Source organism: Homo sapiens (genome assembly GCF_000001405.40).
Source record: "Homo sapiens chromosome 14 unlocalized genomic scaffold, GRCh38.p14 Primary Assembly HSCHR14_CTG7_UNLOCALIZED".
In the NCBI taxonomy this organism is placed as follows: Eukaryota; Metazoa; Chordata; class Mammalia; order Primates; family Hominidae; genus Homo; species Homo sapiens.
The window spans coordinates 64,619-88,596 of NT_187380.1; the positions used below are offsets into that span (position 1 = coordinate 64,619).

Consider the following 23,978-nt stretch of genomic DNA (forward strand, 5'->3'; position numbering starts at 1 on the left):
CCTGCTTATTTGCCCAAGACAAATGAAAGCGTATGTCCAAACGATTGGACAAACATTCGTAGCAACTTTATTTGAAATAGCAAAAACAACTGGAAGCAAACCAAATGTCCATCAAGAGGTGAGTAGATACACTAACTGTAGAATATCCATACAATAAAACTTTTTTTTAAACTAAGGGGCAAAAAACAAAAAAACAAAGATAGAATCTAACTTCTTGGTAAATACATTCACTATTAGGGTTTTTATAACAGAGAAGTCATTCTTTATTAACACTCTTTTGACTATTAAAATATTTTGACATCAAAAATCTGCAAAATATGAAGAAACAAGGGACACACAGCTTTTTCTATTTTCTATTTTTATTTTATTTTTATTTTTTTGAGAAGGAGTCTCTTTCTGTCACACAGGCTAGAGTGCAGTGGTGCGATCTTAGCTCACTTCAAGCTGTGCCTCCCAGTTCACGCCATTCTCCTGCCTCAGTCTCCCGAGTAGCTGGGACTACAGGCGCCCGCCACCAAGCCCAGCTAATTTTTTGTATTTTTAGTAGAGACGGGGTTTCACCGTTAGCCAGGATGGTCTCAATCCCTGACCTCGTGATCTGCCCGCCTCGGCCTCTCAAAGTGCTGGGATTACAGGCGTGAGCCACCGCCCCCGGCCCCAGGACACACAGCTTTAAAATTTCTCATTGGTCTCACCCAGTGCCAACCACCTAAAACCTCTCATTTTCCCCCAGACATTTCTTCTGCCTCCAGGATGGAGGTAGAGAATCTTGGCCTTGGGCCACGCACTGGGGACCATGCTAGGCTGCCGTGGTCAGTGACAGACTCAGGTTCTCACCAGCATCCCCAAAATAGGCCCCTGAAAAAAATGTTACCATCAGGGTGCGCTCCCTGATTCTTGTGTCTGCTGGAAGGAGGAAATCAAGCCAGGAACGTTGTCAGGATAGAGATGAAAATGGGGCTCACTTTTCTGTCTCTTGTGATGTCAGACAAGCCTTTCAGCTCTGTCTCCTCAGCCCTCATGGAATCGTTTGGTGTGGACGCACCGAGATTCTGAACTGGGTCTCCTTTCCCTCTGCCCTTCTCTGGGGCCAGATTCTGAGCTCTCCATTCCAATTTTTCCCCCAATTTGCCCTTGCGTTTATTTATCTGGATTACTGTCTGCCTGTCCCAAAGAATAAAAGCTTTATCACAGTGGGAACTTTGTTTAAAAAAATAATAATAACAGCTATATTTTTAGGATCCATGACACTGTCCAGCATATCGGTGGTATCTGATAAAAAATGTTTGTTGACTGAATGAACAAATATATTATTCACAATTCACATTATCCTGAACTGGCTAGAAAATTAAATATCTGATATCAGTATTGGCAGCATTATGAAGTAAATATAATTCTGACACAGTGCTCGTGAAAGTCTAATATGAAATGCTCATTTTAGAAAACATTTTCTTGTAGATTTGAAAATGTTTCATCTCCATGAACTAGTTGTATATCTGCAAGTTGCGTTTCTTTGGGTTAGGCAGAATAATTGCTCCCCACCAAAGACAGCCACATCCCAGTCTTCAGATAAGGTGAACATGCTAAAGTAAGTTAGCATGTTCAAAGGGACTTGGCAGATGTGATTACCATTAAGGGCATTGAAATGGGGAAATTACCTTGAATTACCTTGGTGAGTCCAATCTAATCTCATAATTCCTTGAGAGCAGAGAATATTTTCTGGATGCTGAGATTCAGACAGATGACAGTATGAGAAAGATGTGGCCTGCTATTACTGGCTTTTAAAACAGTGGTAGGGGGCCACAAGCCAAGGAAAGCCAGTGACCTTTAGAAGCTGGGAATGACCCAAAGTTTTCAACCAGGAAGAAACTGAGGATCTACAACCACAAGGAACTGAATTCTGCCAACAACCCAGATGCTCTTTTAGAGCCTTCAGAAAGAAATGCAGCCTGCCAACATCTTGATGTTAGTTCAGTGAGAGCCATGCCAGATTTCCAACCAAAACAATTCTAAGACAAGTTTATGTGTGTTTTTTAAAACTGACTCAAATCTTACAAAAATGTGTACTTTTAAGCCACTGAATTTGTGGTAAGTTATTACAGCAGGAATAGAAAACTAATACAACCCTAGAGAAAGTCTTGTACATGTGCTCTATAAACACACAGCAGAATTTTTTTAACTTTTTATTGAGTTAAAAAATATATGTATAATTTACCATCTGTACATTTTTAGAGGACAGTTTAGTGGTGATAAATACATTTATATTTTCTTCTCTTAATCTCCTCTTCCAACTCCCCTTGCTGGCCTCTAGCAACCACCAATTTACTTTCTATCTTCATGAGATTCACTTTTTTACTGCCCACATATGAGTGACAACATGTGATATTTGCCTTTCTGTGCTTGGCTCATTCCACTTAACATAATGGCCTCTGTTCATTACGTTAAGCCAAATGGCCAGCGCCACCTATGTTGCTGTGAATGACAGAATTTCATTCTTCTTTGTATCTGAGTAGTATTCCATTATGTATATATATGACTTTTAAAATCTATTCATTTGTTGATGAGCACTTACGTTGATTCCATATTTTGTCTATTGTGAATAGTGCTGCAGTACACATCGGCATGTAGATATGTCTTTGATACATTAATTTCCTTTATTTTGGATATATATCCAGTAAAGAAATTGCTGGGCCACATGGTAGTTCTATTTTTACTTTTTTGAGGAACCTCCATACTGTTCTCCATAGTGGCTTTATTAATGTAGATTCCCACTAACAGTGTACTAGTATTTCCCTTTCTCCACATCCTTGCCAGCATCTGTTATTGCCTGTCTTTTTGAAACAAGTCATTTCAACCAAGGTGAGATGATATTGCATTGTGATTTTGATTTGCATTTCTTTGACGATTAGTGATATTGAACATTTTTTCATCTTCCTATTGGCCATTTGTATGTCTTCTTTTGAGAAAATATCTGTTCAGATCTTTAGCCCATTTTTAAATTGTATTTATTTATATATTTTTAACTATTATTTTTTTAGAAGCAAGGTCTTGCTTTGTCACCCAAGCTAAAGGGCAGTAGCATAATCATAGCTCACTGTAACCTCAAACTCCTGGGATTAAGAAATCCTCCTGACCGGGCGCGGTGGCTCACGCCTGTATTCCCAGCACTTTGGGAGGCCGAGGCGGACAGATCACGAGGTTAGGAGATCAGGACCATCCTGGCTAACACGGTGAAACCCCGTCTCTACTAAAAATACAGTAAATTAGCCTGGCTTGGTGCCGGGCGCCTGTAGTCCCAGCTACTCAGGAGGCTGAGGCAGGAGAATGGCATGAACCCCTGGGGAGCAGAGTCTGCAGTGAGCCGAGATCGTGCCACTGCACTCCAGCCTGGACGACAGCGAGACTCCATCTCAAAAAAAAAAAAAAAAAAAATCCTCCTACCTCAGCCTCTTCAGTAGCCCATTTTTCAATCAGATTTTTTGTTTATTATTGAGTTGTTTGAGCTCCTTATATATTCTACTTGTTAATCCTTTATCAGATAGATAGTTTGAAAATATTTTGTCCCAGTCTGTGGTTGGCTCTTCGCTTTGTTGATTGATTCCTTTGCTTGAGGCTTTTTAGTTTGATATAATCCCATTGTCTATTTTTGCTTCTGTTGCCTGTGCTTCCGAGGTCTTACGCAAAAAAATCTTTGCCCAGACTAATGTCCTGGAGCATTTCTCCTATGCTTTCTTTTTTCTTTTTTCTTTTTTTTTTTCACACCATTCTCCTGCCTCAGCCTCCCGAGTAGCTGGGACTACAGGCGCCCACCATCATGCCCCGCTAATTTTTTTTTTTTTTTTTTTGTATTTTTAGTAGAGACGGAGTTTCACCGTGTTAGCCAGGATGGTCCTGATCTCCTAACCTCGTGATCTGTCCGCCTCGGCCTCCCAAAGTGCTGGGAATACAGGCGTGAGCCACCACGCCTGGCCTTTCCTATGCTTTTTTATTTTTTACTAGCTTCATAGTTTGAGGTCTCAGATTCAAGTCTTTAATCCATTTTTATTTGATTTGATTTTTGTGTATGGTAAGATGGGTTTAATTTTATCCTTCTGCATACAGTTATTCAGTTTTCCCAGGATCATTTATTGAAAAGACTGTTGTTTTCCCAGTGTATGTTCTTGATGCCTTTGTCAGAGATGAGTTGTGTGTAAATGTGTACATTTGTCTGCAGTCTCTATTCTGTTCCACTGTCCTATGTGTCTGTTTTTACGCCAGTAGAAATATATTGGCAATAATTAGTACAGAAAAGCTGAAACAATGAAATGACAAAAGTGATTTATACTGATATAATTCCTTATTCTCACTAAATGCAATAGCATACAGCTAGGAAAACAATGTAGTGCACACGGTATTAAAATAGAACACAATTCAATATACACAGTGCTCACAGTGGCCATCGTTAGAGTGTTGACGGGGATGCAGTCAGCAAAAGTTGTACAGGTGACTTCAAAAGTAATCATAAGCACTTATGATTACTTTTGGCTTAATTTCTTAAACCAAGACTGGAGACACAGGTGTTCATTATGTGCTTATTATACATATACAATAAATATTTTATAAATATATTGTTTCTATTCAGTATTTAATAAAGTAAATCAATAGACAAGGTTAAAAATCAATGTACACATATTTCAAATATTTTTTGCTCCAAGTTATATAAACATTGCATAGTTATTGCCCTGGGCCTGGCAAGGTGACTCACACCTCTCATCCTAGCACTTTAGGAGACTGAGGCAGGAGGATAGCTTCAGCCCCAGAGGTAAAGGCTGCAGTGAGCCTTAATTGCACTACTGCCCTCCAGCCTAGGTGACAGAGCAAGATGCTGTCTGAAGATAAGAATAAAAAGAAGTTGATAAATAAATATATGTTTATATATTAACTGATTTTATTAACTATATATATATATATATATATATATATAGTTGTTGTCTTAGTCTATAGGCAATCTTACAGTGCTTAAGACTTTGATACTGAGAACAGATCTCCTAGGTATATGCTGTGTTTCTGGGGTGACATGATGCTCTCATCTGGCCTCCGTGAGCCTAATTCTATCTTACATTTACCCCACTCTTCAACAACAACTTGGGGAGGTGTCCCTAAACATTCCTAGGTAAACCCAAACCTGTGGCCCTCAACACATTTCTAGGTAAAGCAAGCTCCTGACATATCTGTGGATATCCTCTCATTGGAAGAAGGGGGAAGAGACCATCTCAAAATAATTCATTTAATATAGCTTTTCAGCATTAATTTTATTTTGAGAAAGAGACACACAGTAAATAAAATTTCTAAAAAACTATGAACTTTCAAGCATTCTCATGCTAAATCTAGCCCTGCTCACATGCCAGGGAAATAAAAATGTAATCTGTTTCTCAACCTGACCAGGATGCTACAGTAATTAAAAATAAACTCAATCCCTGGATCCCTACCAAAGGGTCATTTCATATGGATCAAAGTTCTGGTAAAATTATTTGTCTGGAAATAGACTAATTCTCCAAAATATAATTGAAATAGCCTCTGGAAAGGGCCAAATACGACTCTTAATGATACAACAGGTAAATATAGGTCTGATGTTCATTCCGTGTGGACAACAATAGCAGCCATTCCCACAAATGGCTCATTTGTGGGAAGTAAACACTACTTTTGCAGAATCTTACATGATTTCAGTAGAAGGGCAAGGACATTTCAGTTGGGAACAGATTGCTCCATGGTAATGTGATCACTATGTACCCAACAATGGCTCTTTCTTCCTAACGTCAATGCAGATGTTATTTTCACCTTAACTATTATCATTGCTGTTTCTAACCACATAAAAGTGTATCCTTTATATATCTGAAGTAAATTCATACTAGTGGTGTAACATCTCCAGCCATTTAAATGTAAAAACAGAAAACGTATGATGTGTTGATTTACTGTTTTATACTCCTAACGCATGAAGAGAAGATCCTTTTATTCATTGCCTATACTTTTATTTCTAAACTTTCTGTAACACTTTATCTTATATCCAGCATAGAACTGAGATTTGCTTTTTGATTTAATCTGACAATATTTTTCCTCTAATAAGAGTCAAGCCACTTACTTTTAATGATAAATTGTGTTTGTTTATATTTTGATTGCCGTATATTATGCTATGATTTAGATGCACATATCTGTCTTTTGCTGTCTTGTTTGTTTTTATTGCTTTTGTTTTGATGTTGTGATATTTGGAAGAGTTAAACTTTTATTCTGATGGCTACCTTATGTAATTTCATAAAATCATCTCTTTCTTTAGACAGTAGCGAATGTCTCTAAACTAAGAACAATGGTATTAGCTGTATTCTCTTTCTTGTCCTCCCTACGTGATTTTTCATCCCACAATTTGATTTAATCATATTAACTTTGTTTCCCCTGGTGCCATTAAGTATGCTTACATTTCTATAAACAATATCCTTTGACTCCCAGGCATTACAGATGAGCAGTCAGTAAAATCATTCTGAGGAATGCTTTCTCTTTCCTTTTCTTCCATTTTTCTTAGTTGTATCATTTCTATATTGCCAGAGCACCTACAGTTGCATTTCTTTCTGTCAGCTTTATCCAGCATTTGTTTTTGTCTTTTATTTGAAGTTAAATATATTCCTTGTTCACTACAACACTGGGGGAAGGAAGGTTTCTGTTGTCATTGTTGTGCTTGTACAGTTGTTTATTTAAAAACATTGGCGAAAACAAAAACTGTATGTAGATGGAGTGGAGATAAGACAGCAAATGAGAGAGACTGATGATGAGTGTGCCTATTCTAGACTGGGAGGCGTGCTACACTGAGTAGTGTCTCAAGGCCACAGGAAAGGATGGTTGATTGTGAGCAGGTGGACTTTCCACTGGAGGAGAGAAGTCCTGCGCTCAACAACCTGTGCAGAACCAGAAACTGGTAATGCTTCAAATCAACTTACAGACCTGGAGGTAGAAATTTAAGAAAACTCGTTTAGCACCTAGTTACCTAGAAAATATTAGCAACTATTTGCTGAGCATCTATCAGTCTGTCTGTAGCATGGAAGACCTGAGTACAGGGGAAACTGGATTAGTAACAGTGGGTCAGAAAATTATATAATATTCAACCAAAATTCCTGCTTTACATACACAGCACCTGGTATTTCCAGAACTAGAAGGTAAAGAAATTATTTGTGCTTGAACTTGCAGAAAACTGCCTTTTCCCTTCTTCTCTTGCATCTTAACCTGGAGCTTCCTTTTCTTGAGCCTCAGTGTGCTTCCCAACTCAATTTATAGTTGACTTCCTGCAGTTTCTCTTTAGGACAGGGCTTTATTTTGGGGGTGGTTAATTTGTAGGGTTCATAGGAAACAGACCACTCACAGCACCTGCTTTTTGCCATCCTCACTCTCAGCTATGAGTTGAGGCCCAGGAAGCCTTCTGCCAGCCTCAGCTGCTGTTCTCAGATTAATCTGCTGAGTTCTTTTCGCCTAGTAAGAATCTCTGAATTTAGGAACATAGATGTTAGCGCTTGTATTTCTAGGTTTTCCAGTTCCCAGGGCCATTAAACATTTTTTTCTTTCCTTTCCTTCTTCCAAAAAAATTGGTGATTCGCCTGGTTCCCTCTGGTTTAACCTCACAAAAGGTCCATGATGACACCCTGTTACATTGTTTTGTCATAGTTAATACCTTGTTATCCCAGTTGCTCAGTCAGTTTTGTGAGAGATTCAGGGATATTAATAAAACTGTGCTGCTGCTTCTACTAACACCTTGCATAAAAGTCCTATTAATTAAAATGTTTATTTTGCATGTGATTTGAACTTGTAATTTTTATTCAAAGTTTTTCAACAGAGATCCAGAAAAGACCCTCATTATATTTTTAGTTTTGTGCATTGCAACACTTTTTAGTGAAAAAAAAAATACATGAGAACAACACAAGTGATTTTAAAAGAATAAACCTACAATCCATTAATTATAAAATGAAATACTATGCAGGTGTTAAGAATGAGGAAATCAATAAGAACTTGTGTGGGGTAACTATAAACTTTAAAAAAAAAATTAATGCTCATGTGACCATATTATCGTTAAAAAAATACAAGCATACTTGCACACACCTTCAAGCAAAATGGGTACACGCATTTAAAAATATTTAAATTAAGTAAATGGCCCAATAATTTAACTTTGTATAATTCTATGTTCTCCGATTATTTTATATGCTAGAAACAGGCATTACTGTTGTGTTTATTTCATTTGAAATAATTGTAGTCACATGAGGTTTAAGTTATAATACAGAGAGGTCACATATGCCTATTTTCTAATTGGATACCTTATTTATTACTGTTGAGTTTTGAGAATTTTTTACATATGCTAGATGTAAGTTCTTTGTCAGATATATGGTATGCAAATTATTTCTCCCAGTCTGTAATTCATTTTTTCAACCTCTTTACAGGGTCTAAGTAAAAAAAAAAAAAAAAAAGTGTTTATTTATTTTAATGAAGTCCAGTTTTATCACTTTTTCCTTCTGTAGATTTTGTTTTCAACATCAAGCCTAAAAATTCTTTGCCTAGCCCAAGGTCTCAAGAGTTTTCTTCTATTTTAAAAAGTTTAATGAATTTATTTATTTATTAATTATTTTTGAGACGAGGTTTCGCCGAAGCTGTAGTGCAGTGGTGTCATCATTGCTCACTGCAGCCACTAACAGCTGGATTGAAGTGATCCTTCCACCTCAGCCACTTGAGTAGTAGCTGGGATTACAGGCACGAGCTACCATACACAACTTTAAGTTTTATAATATTGCATTTTACATTTAAGCCTGTGATTTATGTGAGCTAAATTTTATATAAAGTATAAATTTAGGTCAGTCTTAGTTTTTGTACCTGTGAATGTCCAATTGCTCTAGCACCATTTGTTGAAAAAGATATCCTTCCTTTAAACTGATTTTGCATCCTTGTAAAAAAAAATCAGATGAATATAGTGTGGTCTGTCACCTTTTAATAAGATAAAAACATTGGCACTCACCAGATATCGAAGTTTAGAAATTTTTTTAAAGCTAAACTTCTGAAGATAGAATAAAAACACCTTCACATGTCAAATTAGTCAATTTGTATAGGACTAATTCATTTAAATATATTAAAATACAAAATAATTCAAACCACTAAAGTGATAATACAAGACTATAAATTTAAAGGCTAATTATTAAGTCAAATTGCTGTATTCTACGTGTTAGAGTGAGTTCAAAAGATCCATTGTATTACTGAATAGGCAAAAGTTTTAATTTCAGAGAATGAAACTGATATATTACTGCCACCTTGTGGATATTCTGTTATTACAGGCTATTATAAAAAGCAATAAGGGTATGTAATCTGTTCTAACAAGAAGCGTTTCCTTTTTTTGTCGCTTTTATTATTGTTATTATTACGTTTTAAGTTCTGAGATACATGTACATAACGTGGAGGTTTGTTACGTAGGTATACACATGCCATGGTGGTTTACTGCACCCATCAACCCATCATCTACATTAGGTATTTCTCCTAATGCTATCACTCCCCGAGCCTCCCACCCCCCTGACAGGCGCCGGTATGTGATGTTCCCCTCCCTGTGTCCATGTGTTCTCATTGTTCAACTCAAAAGAAAAACAGAAGCATTTTCTGCTTTCCTAATTTCTTAAATACAATGCAACTTTATGTTTAATTTAACTAACTTAATTTTTTGAGACAAGGTCTAGCTCTGTTGCCCAGGCTGGAGTGGAGTGGCGTGAATATGGTTCAGTGAAACCTCCACCTCCCTGGCTCAAGTGATCCTCCTTCTTAAGCCTCTCGAGTAGCTAGGACCACAGGCACGCACCACCATGGCCAGCTAATTTCTTTTTTATTTTTTATAGAGATGAGGTCTCACTTTGTTGTCCACGCTGGTCTCAAACTCCTGGGCTCAAAGGATCCTCTTGCCATGGCCTTCCACAGCGCTGGGATTTATAGGTGTGTGCCATGGCACCAGGCCTAAGCAACTGTAGAGAAGCCTTTTTTTCTTTCATAAAAACAGTTGTAGATATTTTCCTTATGGAATTTATTTGTGGTGAAATATTTTAATAGACAATTTAATTTGTTAAATAATTTGTCTCAGATAATAATAATTGATTAATATTAAAACTACAAAACAAGTAGGGTCTTCTTTTTCTATGAAAAATGAAAGTTGATTCTGACATTTATGTAAACATTTTAAATATTCAAAGTATATAAATGTGAAGTCCTATCAAGAGTAATTAGACAAGAGAAAGAAATAAAGGGCATTCAGATCGGAAAGGAGGACATCAAATTGTTCCTATTTGCAGATGACATGATCTTATATATAGGAAAACCTGAAGACTCTACCAGAAAACTTTTAGAACAAACAAATTCAATGAAGTTGCAAGACACAAAACTAATACACAAAGATTGGTTGCATTTATATTTATGAACAACAAACTCGCTGAAAAAGAAATTAAGAAGGCAAACCCATTTACAATACTTACCAAAAATAACCCAGACATAAATGTAACCAAGGAGGTAAAATGAAAACTACAAAACACTAATGAAAGAAATTGAAGAGGATACAAACAAATGAAAAGACATTCACACTCATGGATCAGAAATATGAATGTTGTTAAAGTGACAGTACTACTCAAAAGTAACCTACAGATTCAATGCAATCTCTATCAAAATACCTATGAACATTCTTCACAAAATAAAAAAAAATCCAAAGAGATTTTATGGAATCAAAAAATATCCTGAATAGCCAAAGCCATCCTAAGCAAAAAGAACAAAGCTGGATGTATCATGCTACCAGACCTCAGAATATACTACAAAACTGTAGTAACCAAAACATCATGGTATTGGCATAAAAACAGACACATAGACCTATGGAATAGAATAAAGAACCCAGAAAATCCACATATCTCAGCCAACAGATTTTTTACAAAGATGCCAAGAACACTCATTGGGAAAAGGATAGTCTCTTCAATAAATGGTGCTGGAAAAACTGGATATCCATATGCAGAAGAATGAAACTAGACCTCTGCCTCTCACCCTATACAAAAATCAACTCAAAGTACCTCAAATACCCAAATATAAGACCCAAAATGGTAAAGCTACTAGAAGAAAACATAGGGGAGATCCTTCAGGACATTGCTCTGGGAAAATATTTTATGAATAAGGCATCAAAAGCACAGGCAACAAAAGAAAAAATAAACAAATGGGATCACATCAAGCTAAAAATCTTCTGCACAGCAAAGGAAATAATAAAGTGAGTGAAAAGACAACCTACAGAATGGGAGAAAATATAAACTCATCTGGCAGGAAATTAATATCAAGAATATACAAGGAATTCAAACATATCAACAGCAAAGAAGCACAACAATCTAATTAAATATAAACAAATGCTCTGAACAGACATTTCTCAAAAGAAGACATACAAATGACCAACAAATATATGAAAAAATGTTCAACACCACTAATCAGCAAGGAAATGCTAATCAAAGCCACAGTGAGGCATCATCTTACTCCAGTTAGGATGGCTATTATAGAAGAGACAAAAATAACAAATGCTGACAAAGACGTGAAGAAAAGGGACCTTTTTTTGACAGAATCTCACTCTCTGTCCAGGCTGGAGTGCAGTGGTGGTGTAATCTGGCTCCCTCTGCTTCTAGGGTTCAAATAGTTCTCCTCCCTCAGCCTCCTGAGTAGCTGAAGAAAAAGGAACTCTTATGCACTGTTGGTAGGAATGTAAATTAGTGCAGCCAGTATGGAGAACAGTATTGAAACACCTCAAGCAATCCCACTACTGGGAATTTATCCAAAGGAAAGAAAAGCATTATATTGCAGAGACATCTACATCCCCCATGTTTATTGCAACAGTGTTCACAATAGCCAAGATATGGAATCAACCTAGGTTTCCAACAACAGAGGAATGGATTTTTAAAATATGGTATATATACACCACGGAATGCTATTTAGCCATAAAAAAGAATAAATAAAATCCTGTCATTCTCAGCAACTTGGATGGAACTGGAGAATATTATGTTAAGCAAAATAAGCCAGGAATAGAAATTTCAACACCACATGTTCTCACTCACGCAGAAGCTAAAAAAAAGCTGATCTCATAGAAGTAAAAAGTAGAACAGAGGATAATGCAGGCTGAAAAGGGTAGGGAGAAAGGAGGAATAGTAAGATATTTGTTAATGGATACAAAATTACAGCTAGGTAGGAGTAATAAGTTCTAGTGTTCTATAGTACTGTAGATGACTATAGTTAACAATACTATATTATGTAGTTTAAAATACCTAGGAGTAGTTTGAATGTTCCCAACACAAAGAAATAATAAATGTTTGAGATGATAGATATGCTAATTACCCTGATCTGATCACCATCTACATGTACTGAAACATCCCCATATAGCCATGAATATGTATAATCTTTGTCAATTTAAAAATTAAAAAAAAAAATCTTGGAGAATGCATTTGAAGGACTTGTACTCAAGAAATCAACTTAAGAACCTCAGTCTCCTTGGAATTTGTGTTTTCTAGACCAGTATTTCTCCAAATTAAAGCAAATTTAGGCTAGGCATGGTGGCCCATGTCTATAATCTTAGCACTTTGGAAGGCCGAGGCGGGCAGATCACTTGAGGTCAGGAGTTCGAGACCAGCTGACCCAACATTGTGAAACACTGTCTCTACTAAAAATACAAAAATTAGCTGGGCATGATGGCATGTGCCTGTAATCCCAGCTACTTTGGAGGCCGAGGCAAGATAATCGCTTGAACTGGAGAGGTGGAAGTTGCAGTGAGCTGAGATTGCACCACTGCGCTCCAGCCTGGGCAACAGAGCAAGACTCTGTCTCAAAAAAAAAAAAAAAAAAAAAGCAAATTTAGTTCACTTTGGTATTTTGTCAAAATGTTGATTCTTTTAAAGTAAATCTAAAGAATTTAGATGTAGTTGAAGCTTGTCATCTGTTCTTAATTTTTTTAATAAAAATATAATATTTCGATTCAGAGTAAATCTAAAGTGAGACCTGAAGCTGCTCCCAGGTGATACTGATGCTGCTTATTTTTGCCCAGATTTTGAGTCACAAGGTTCTAAATTATTGGTTTGAAGTCCTACATGAGTAATCACTTGGGGAGCTCAATTAACACCCAGACTAATTATTAATAAACCAGAATCTTCAGTATTAGGCTTCAATCATTAGCAATTTTTTTTGACACACAGTCTCCCACTGTCGCCCAGGCTGAAGTCCTGAGGCCAGAATGAGACTAGGACATGGTTCCTTTGTCTAAGTAAAGTGAGGCAGACAATGGAATACTTCAGACTTCAAATTAGTATGGTAAGTGCTATGAAGAGTATGATTAGAGTTCATTACTTACCCAGAAAAGGGTCACTCAGCCCAGCCTGGGAGTTAGAGAAGGTTTCCTGAAGTCTTGACATGTGAGTCATGAAAGGACATAAGGAGTTAAACACGTGACAAAATAAGCTAAGAGAATTCTCAACAAAAGACAAAATATTGCCAAAGGCTTTTAGGCATATACTATCTTAGTATTATTGGTAGAATGTAATGACTTTCTGTATTTCAAAAGTGTAAAATACAAAGTGGGCCATGGTATGAGATAAACCAGTAAATATGTTCTGGGAACATATCATAGAAGGGCGTGTATGCTGTCCTAAGGAGCTTAAACTTCAACTTCAGTTCATGGGAGCCAATGACAAGATCTGAGCAGGGGAAGGATGTGGCTAGAGGGGCATTTTAGACAGACAAGATCCTCTGTGGATTACACCTAGGCTAAGCAACGGGTTAAAGTTGTTGTCTTAAGACAATAGTCCAGGTAAAAGATAATAAAGTTTTAAATTAGGATGTTAGTAGGAATGAGGAAGACGGATGGATTTCAGAAATAGTAAGGAAATGTATTAGCAGGACTTGATTAGTGATTGACTTGGGGAAGGAGGGGAAGATAGAGTTCAGGATGACTCCGAGACTGTCTGGTGTCGGTGGCTAATGACTGAAGCTATTAATAGAGGTAGGTAATGCAGACCAAAAGCAGGCCCGGGGTGAGAGATGATAAATTTGAATTTTAACATGTTGAGTTTGGACATCCAGGATGAAATAACCACAAAACATTTAAATATACGAATCTGAAAAGGTAAGCATCATAAGCATATGAGCTATTGGTAAAATTCTGATACTTAATGAAGTCTCGCAGGGAGGCAGTACAGAGGCAAGCAATGGGCTGGGGATAAAACATAGGGAAATATTATTTAAATAAAGATGAAAGAAAAGGAGCCCACAAACGAAGCTGAAAAGGCATAGTCAAAAAAAGAGGATTGCCAAAGTGCCACCTTTGAAGCTCTGCTGTTACACTTTATAAGGAAAGTTTTGGTTACCTGGGATTGCATGCATTTATAAAAGTTTCTATTATTAGGAAGACAATAATAATGATAAGGCCCTTTCTCATTGTTGTCAGTGTAATTTATCTATTTAATTATAGAACCTAGTTCCAGGATGCTTAATCTGAAGTATATACTTGGGGCAAAATGAATTATATCTTAATAATAATCTGGAATTATTCTCTCTAACTTGACATATTTTTAATTCTTGCTAGATTTTCAAAACGTCATACCTCGAACCACCACCAGATGGCTATGAGAATGTTACAAATATTGTGCCACCATATAATGCTTTCTCAGCCCAAGGCATGCCAGAGGTAAAATAAAATGCATTTGTAACCCAAGTCTTTAAATGGTTCTTTTGCTATATAAAACCTGTATAGAGGACTAAAACCACGGAAATTAGGTGAATCATTCATGCGGATTCATTGTTTGATATTCAGTACTATGAAAACCTCATCCCTCAAATTTAAAAAATTATAATAAAATAGAAAAGAACACCAGACAGAGAAAAAAGAAACAAAACAAACACATTAAAAACTGACCCTGCTGAAGCAGATGCCACTCTTTGAAATAACAAAGAAACTGCTGAACACGCCTTTAATTCAGTGAGGCAGTAGGTGTTTTTTTGTTTGTTTTTGTTTCGTTTTGTTTTTTTGAGATGGAGTTTCGCTCTTGTCACCCAGGCTGGAGTGTAGTGGCAAAATCTGGGCTCACTGCAACCTCCGCCTCCCAGGTCCAAGCAATTCTCTTGCCTCAGCCTCCTGAGTAGCTGGGATCACAGGTGCACACCACCACACCCTGCTAATTTTGTATTTTTTTTAGTGGAGGCGAGGTTTCTCTATGTTGGTCAGGCTAGTCTCAAACTCCCAAACTCAGGTGATCGGCTCACCTCGGCCTCCCAAAGTGCTGGGATTACAGGCGTGAGCCACCACGTTATAAAGGGAAACTTCCTATTTGCCCTCTAAATGTTTGCAGAAAATGAATGGACAAAACATAAATTAATAGAAGAAAGAGGCAAAAAAAAATTCTGTAAAATGTAGGGGAAAAATCACAGGGTCTCTCTGTTACCCAGCATGAAATGCAGTGGTGTGATCATGGCTCATTGCAACCTTGAATTCTGAAGCACAAGTGATTCTCCCCCCTAAGCCTATGGTGTAGCTGGGATCACAGGGGCATGCCACCATGCACACATACATGGTTATTTGCTGGAGAGGAGATGGAGACTCTCTGTCCTGGATGTGAGACAGTTGGCTGGCATCTGGGTAAGGATGACATTACCTCATTGCTAAAGAGTAAAAGAGGAAAGTGTCATGGATAGTGCAAGCAGGGACATGCCCTGACCTAGTGAGGTCCAGAGGCTTATATTGTCCTTCATAGGGGAGTGGGAAGAAGCGAGTGTAGGCAACCCAGGGGAAATAAATGACCTAAAATAAAAGAAATAGATCATCAGAAGTGTAGATGTATTAGTCAGGGTTCTCTAGAGTGACAGAATTAAAGGACTATATACATATATATATGAAAGGGAGTGACATGGTTAATAATGAGTGTCAACTTGATAGGATTGAGAGATATGAAGTATTGATCCAGGGTGTGTCTGTGAGAGTGTTGCCGAAAGAGATTAACATTTGAGTCAGTGGGCTGGGGAAGGCAGACCCACCCTTAATCTGGTGGGCACAATCTAATCTGCTGCCAGCAAATATAAATCAGGCAGAAAAATTTGAAAAGGAGAGACTGGCCTAGCCTCCCAGCCTACATCTTTCTCCCATGCTGGTTTCTTCCTGCCCTCAAACATTGGACTCCATGGCTCTCCTTTCTCATCAGTTTGCAGACAGCCCATTGTGTAACTTATGATCCTGTAAGTTAATAAACTCCCCTTTATAAATAAATATATATATGTGTGTGTGTGTGTGCATATATATATGTATGTGTGTGTGTATATATATATGTATATATCCTGTTAGTTCTGTCCCTCTAGATGTCACTGTCTAATACAGGAAGTTTATTAAGTATTAACTCACACAATCACCAAGTCTCACAATAGGCCATCTGCTGGATGAGGAGCAAAAAGAGCCAGCCAGAGTTCCAAAACTGAAGAACTTGGAGTCCATGTTCGAGGGCAAGAAGCATCCAGCATGGGAGAAAGATGTAGGCTGGGAGGCGAGGCCCGTCTCTTTTCACATTTTTCTGCCTGCTTATAGTATGGCTGGGTTGGCAGCTGATTGGATTGTGCCCACACAGATTAAGGGTGGGTCTGCCTTTCCCAGCCCACTGACTCACATGTTAATCTTTTTTTGGCAACACCCTCACAGACACACCCAGGATGAATACTTTACATCCTTCAATCCAATCAAGTTGACACTCATTATAAACCATCATAAGCCCACCCCTTGTGAACTTGAACCCACGCACATCTCCTGAGATCATACATAATCTTAAAATACAGACAATAGTTAGGTCATAATTACCCCAACATAATAAACTATCCTTCCTACAACTGGAAATGCACCAATCCTCAACCCAAATACTATTACATAAAGTAAACAATACTTAAATGCTGATATGAGGTGAGCAAATCTATGTCACCTGATAAAGAAAAGGGAAATGAAATGAAGATATTTTCTTAGTACAAGTGCATACATGCACAAACATGTTTTTAACAAAAGAAGAAGGAAATACTCATGATAGTTCCAGTCCTCATTTCTGCAGCTGGTCAGGTGGTCGTAGCTGGTATTGATAACTACTTTCTTCCACTATTCATTCTGTATTCCCTTTGCCTTCAGCAAGCAGCTCAGCAGGTCGTGACCCGGAGAGGATCTGGACCATTTGTAGTCCTACCTGGATTGGGTATAGTTTCCCATTTAACTTAATCAGAGTGCATGATAATACCAAGAGATGCCCTAATGGATCTCCTATATTCCATGCATACTCTTCCTCACTTCCGTTGTGGAGTAGTGGACTGACTTCATCTTGATAGTCTGGGTCAATCACTGCCGCCAACACTGTAACTCCATTCTTAGCTTGTTGACTTAAAGGTAGGAGGACCCCAAAGCGTCCAAGTGGCCATCTTAACTTCCAGTTTAATGGAATCCTTATTGTGTCTCCTGGTAGCAACGTTCTTCCCTCTGGAGCTAAGATGACTAGTAAAGCAGAACCTAATGTCGTGGGAACAGAAAGCAAACATTTTGCTAGTGCATCATAGTGAGTGGTTCCACTTTCACATCCACCCCTTGAATCCTGGATCTGTGAATACTGGCTATGGGAGAAACAATACCATACGTTGGGCGCTGATTCAGAGCACACATGGTCTTCTGGAGTATGGTGCCCCGGCCCGGCCAAGTATTGTAACCTAGTTGACGTTGTAATCGCGACCTCAAAAGGCCGTCCCACCATTCTATCAATCCAGATGCTTCAGGAAGATGGTGAATATGGTAAGACCAGTGAATTCCGTGAACGTGAGCCCATTGCCTCACTTCTTCACCTGTAAAGTGAGTGCTTGGTCAGAGGTAATGCTGTGTGGAATACCGTGATAGTGGATAAGGCATTCCTTGAGTCCATAAATAGTAGTCTTGGCAGAAGCATTGCATGCAGGTAGGTAAACTCATATCCGGAGTAAGTGCCTGTTCCAATGAGGACAAACCTCTCTCCTTTCCATGGTGGAAGAGGTCCAATATAATCAACCTGTCACCGGGTAGCTGGTCGATCACCCCAGGGAATGATGCCATACAAAGAGTTCACTGTTAGTCTCTGCTGCTGCTGGCAAATTGGGCACTCAGCAGTGGCCACAGACAGTTCAGCCTTGGTGAGTGGAAGTCCACATTGCTGAATCCATGCATAGCCTCCATCCCTGACACCATGGCCACTATGTTCATGGTCTCATTGGACAATGACAGGGGTGTCTGAGGAAAGAGGCTGAGTGGTATCCACAGAACGGGTCATCTTATCCACTTGATTATCAAAATCCTCCTCTCCTGAAGTCACTTGTTGGTCAACACTCACACAGGGTACAAATATCTTCAGTTTTTGACCACTCAGAGAGGTCCATCTACATACTCTTTCTCCAAGTTTCTTTGTCACCAATTTTCCAATCATGCTTCTTCCAAGTCCCTGACCATCCAGCCAAACCATTGGCTACAGCCCATGAATCAGTATATAACCGCACATCTGGAAATTTCTCCTTCCATGCAAAGTGCACAATCAGGTGCACTGCTCAATGTTCTGCCCACTGGGAAGATTTTCCTTCACCACTCTCCTTCAGGGATGTCCTAGAAAGGGGCTGTAGTGCTTCAGCTGTCCACTTTTGGGCGGTACCTGCCTATTGTGGAGAACCATCTGTGAACCAGACCCTAGTCCTCCCTTCCTGTGTTAACTGCTCAAAGGCAAGTCCCCATGAGGTCATCAGTGCAGGCCATGGGAGAGAAAGCAGGGTGGCAGGGTGGGCATTTGAGCCACTTCCTCATGTAACTTACTTGTGCCCCCCAGGACCTGCTTGAGCCCAATCACTTATACACCATTTCCATTTGATGATGCAATGCTGCTGTGCATGACCCACTTTATGGCTACATGAGTCAGAAAGCACCCAGTTCACGATAGGCAGTTCAGGTCGCGTGGTGACTTGTTGACTCATAGTCAAATGTTCAGTTTCCACAAAAGCCCAGTATAAGACAAGAGCTGTCTCTCAAAAGGAGAGTAGTTAACTGGAGAAGATGACCACGCCTTGCTGCAAAATACTAGAGGACTGCACCATGATTCACCTATAGAGGCCTGCCAAAGCCTCAAAGCAGCATTCCTATCTGCCATGGACACCTCAGGGGGACCCAGCCTCCCCTTCATTCAAGGGGTTCTGGGTCTGTAAACTGGCTCAAGGCTGGAAATTGATTGAGGGGCCATGAATCTCTGTTTTTATAATTCCAATTAGTCTTTTATCTGTTTGACCTTAAGTTTCCTCCTTACATAAATTAAGTAGGAATGCATTAGTTTTCCTGTCAGTTTCACTTCTAGGAACACTGTGATTAGTTAGCCAATGCCAGAGCTCTACATGAGTCAGACTGTTCAGATTGCTGCTTTGTCTTTTCTGCCCATTACGGTAGCTACACCCACCATGCCTTTGAGGGTTGAGTGCTACCACTTGGCCCCTGCCACTTCAGGATCCAATTATTCCAAATTGTATTTAACTTTTGTAACTGAGTGACTGCAGTTCTCACCATTAGAACTGACATACAGAGAAGAGCCTTTACAGGGCTCTTCAAAGATGCAGGCGCTCTCCTCACAAATCTATTTTGCAAGGTGTTTGTCAAGGGTATTAGGTACAGAGTCACTAAACTCCTTGCCTCTCACGAGCGATGATTCATTAGTGTCGAATGAATTTGTTTTGCATAGCTCTTTAAACCTTTCATGCCAAGAACTGTCAATGTTCTCTACACTATTAAAAGTAGAGTCCTTAGCATTTTGGGATCTAATCATATTTAGCAGCCAAATCCAGAAACCCCAAAACCAACAAAAGAACTCCAACCTTAATATTCTGTTCCTGCAGAACCATTCCTGGTACCAAAATCTGTATTAGTGAGGGTTCTCTAGAGGGACAGAACTAATAAGTTCTATATATATATATATGGGTTTATTACATATTATTACATATTAACTTACAGGATCACAAGGTCCCACAGTAGGCTGTCTGCAGGCATGAGGAATGAGGAGTAAGGAGAGCCAGCTCGAGTCTCAAAACTAAAGAACTTGGAGTCCGATGTTCAAGGGTAGGAAGCATCCAGCACGGGAGAGAGATGTAGGCTGGGAGGCTGGGCCAGACTCACTTTTTCACTTTTTTTCTGCCTGCTTTATATTCACTGGCAGCTGATGAAATGGTGCCCATAGATTAAGCAGGGGGTCTGCCTTCCCCAGACTACTGACTCAAATATTAATCTCCTTTGGCAACACCCTCACAGACTCACCCAGGAGCAATGCTTACATCCTTCAATGTAATCAAGTTGACAATCTGTATTAACTATCACAGGATTACAGACCTGAGCCATCACACATAGTGTTATTGTATATTTCATACAATTTCCTGATTTTCCCATTTTATCTGTGACTTAATAAAGTTTTTCAGCTATGACCCCAAACTGTTAATACTTGAAAGCACATTCAAATGTATTTTGCAACAATTCGTAACTGGCAAAATGTTGAGCCTTGTGGAAAGAGTCACCTTACTTCCCCGTCAGCTGTCAATTCCCCATCACTACTATCACTTCTGGGAGCACATTTTCCAAAACTCCTTTTCTCTCTATGGTTTCTTTAGAGTTGCTCCACGAGGTCACAATAAGTTACAACTAATTACTGTCATGAGATTGGGAAGTCAGAGTGGTGGATTCATGTACACTGACACCTGAAGTAAAGCACATGCTGTTAGGTGTGGACTGGAGAATCACCTGGAGATGTGCTGCAGGCAGCTGAGAGCATCAGCACCCCCAGCTCTGGGCTTCCCAGACAGGACTGAGGATCATCACACGGTGTTCAGCACATACCACCAGGGGCAGGTGAACCCTGGCTTCTGAAGTAACACCTGAGAATCCCCTGTGTCTAGTACCTGCTTCATGAATAACACTCCATAGGCTTCAGAAAGACTGTGGTTTAGACTCTAATTTATTCAACTTGAATAATTTCTCCTTGAAATACTGAGAATAGCTTCTCTTTTGCTGTACAAATTCCGATTATCCCATAACACAGACTCCTCAGCTGGACTTATCTCTCTTCTTTATTCAGTCAGGACAGTCATTGTCACGTCTTTTCTGCTGGGGATGAGGATGAAAGAGGCTTAGGGTTCAGAGGAACCTCCCTGGCCTCCTCTAGGAAAATCTCCCTATGACTTTCCAAACCTGACTGAGTTTGAGAACTTTTCTCAGCAGACAGAGGCACCAGAAGGAGCATTGGGGCAGCCCAGCCTCATGCATCTGCTTCCTTGGGGTTTATGTTATGACTTGTAACACTGTGGGAGGGGTACTGTCACTCTGTTGACAGTAATAAGTTGCAAAATCTTCAGGCTGCAGGCTGCTGATGGTGAGAGTGTAATCTGTCCCAGATCCACTGTCACTGAACCGAGAGGGAATCCCACTTTGCAGACTGGATGCAGCATAGATCAGGAGCTTAGGAGTTTTCCCTGGTTTCTGCTGATACCAATTTAAATTATTGCTAATGCCCTGACTCGCCCGGCAAGTGATGGTGACTCTGTCTCCTACAGATGCAGACAGGGAGGATGGAGACTGGGTCATCTGGATGTCACATCTGGCACCTGAAGTTGGAAACATAAAAACAAATATTCTTGCAATTAATCATGTTATCAGAGGACTTCCCTGAAGTTCCAGACAGTACTGAGCACACTGACCAAGTATAATCCTAGTGTTCTCCTTCCTTACCTGGCAGCCAGAGCACCAGGAGCCCCAGGAGCTGAGTGGGGGCCCTCACATCTGTGCTGTGTCCTGACTGGGACTGACTCCTGCACCGGGTGTGACCAGCCTATAAAAAGTCTTCAGGGCAGGGGGTTGTGCTTTAGGAACAGGCAAATCAGCAGGGGATGGGGCAGGCTGAGCACAGCTGCGGGGCTGGCTCATTTCAGTAACTCAGCACAGGGGCGCAGTATCCCCAGAGTCCCAGGTCAGACCAGGGCAGCACAGATTTACCTTGAAAGAATACATTTCTCATTGGTGGCCATACGGTTACAGAACATATTTTTGGAGTGAATTTTCAAAATTTTAAATCAACCTAAGCCTAGATTAAATAATATATTTATACTTGTATTAGGAGTGTATAGGGAAGCATCACTTTTGGCAGAAAATTTACAATAAAGTTGTAGAATGTGGGGCTGTCAGAAATTTCAGTTAGCCTCAAAGGAATTTGAAGAGTGTAAAAGTATTTAGTGCTATAATAACAATGTCTCTGTCAGTGTGAAATTTCTTCTTTTTTGAAATGAATATAAAAAGAATTTATCAGAAGAATCTTTAATAAATTCAATAGAATTTACTAACAAACTTAAGACATTGTTCCTAGGAGTAAAAGGAAAAACAATTCTCTGAAGATGCACAAAGATGATAACTGTGTCACGCATAGATCTGCCATTATCCAGAGCTATGGGTCTCTTTAAGACCCAGGGGCTAAATGGGCTGCACCTTATTCTTGGTGTGATGATCCCCATATTCTATCCCCTTTCCTGCCTTTGGTATAATTTCTTATGGTTCTCCAGCATGGAGAGCTGACTAGTAATACCAGGTCTCATTATTTCAACTAAAATCTCTGTTTCACTCGCTGACTATAGGAGCCTGGATTAAAATCAACTTGAAGCCCTCTATCAATCTAGGCTCAAATAGTCAATTGTTTCAAAGTAGGATGACAAAGGCCACATCCCCTGAGTAATGCTCTGAGCTGCGCTCCCCACCAGCCTGTTCTTGGGGTCTCAGGAGCATTTGCCCTAGAGTCTGGCTTTCTGGAGAGCAGGTGAGGGGGGAAAAGCCAGGTCAGTGAACCTCTCTCCTTAGCGAGGGCAGTTGCTGCCCAATGCATGTCCTTGCCATGCACCAGGGCAACATCCTGACCCAGATGCCAGCCACCCTGTCTCACATCCATTTAGAGAGAATCTCCATCTTCTGCCAAGACACTGCCCATGTAGATGAAAAAGTATTTTGCATCCAAACATATCTTAAGCACTGATTTGAACCTCAATACTTCACACAGATGTCTTTGTCCAGGGTGTGTCAGCCTGGCTCAACAGCAGGGGAAGTGGAGCCAATTACGTCAGTGTCAGTGGACTGAGAAACACTCCAGGGAGTAGTTCTCATGCACGACTACCAGTGGCCAGACCAAGGTAGTGCAGCCTGTGCACAAACCTCCTGCTGCTTTTCCAGAGGACTGGATTTCTGGGAAATGGCTACTGAACAGGCTGCCAGGATCCATATATCCAGATTCAGAGAGATACATCTCTGGATTCAAATGCGCTTCTTCTTTGTGCATAATTTTTGCAGTCATTGTTACTACGCCTTGGGGATTCTAGTCATTATACTTCAGCCGACTCTCTATGGCCCTTTCTCCCCTTCACTGCTCTATCTGAACCTGGGGAAGCAGCTCAGGCTGCAAATGAGGCAGACCTCATGGCCTGGAATTAGCAACCCCTAGGACGGCTGTCAATCAGTGATGACAAGGGAGGTGTATACATCCCCCAGCTCCCTCACCTCTCAGGTGGAATAACAGAGGCATTTTTCCTGTGTTTCTATGTAGGCTTGAGCTCTCGTCATCCTCAGAGGTGGCTCCTTCTGAGACACCTTTCACTTTCCCTTTCCCTCCTCCCCTCCCTTGCTCACTTGCTTGTTTCCCGCACTTTGTAAATATACTGCCTGCATGCGAATCTTTGGCATCCTTCTCACTGAGGGGACCCAACCTAATGCATTGGAAAAATTCTCATTCTTGGAGGGCATCATTGGTTTGAATTATTGCCACTTCTCCTGTTTTAATGCCTAGGGAAATTCCAAAAATTTAGGAAATCTTTAAATTCCCTTTGCCAATCTTTCTTAGATTTGATTTTAGCAGAGA

General features: G+C 39.7%; 1 gene segment (V, D, J or C); it reads right to left on the reverse strand.

The window, feature by feature from the left end:
* Nucleotides 1-21,367: 21,367 nt before the first annotated feature.
* Nucleotides 21,368-23,417, reverse strand: LOC112268314 (immunoglobulin kappa variable 1-39-like). The segment is given in 3 exon segments: nt 21,368-21,690; nt 21,815-21,914; nt 23,253-23,417. Coding segments are annotated over 3 exon segments (588 nt in total).
* Between the last annotated feature and the right edge of the window lie 561 nt (nt 23,418-23,978).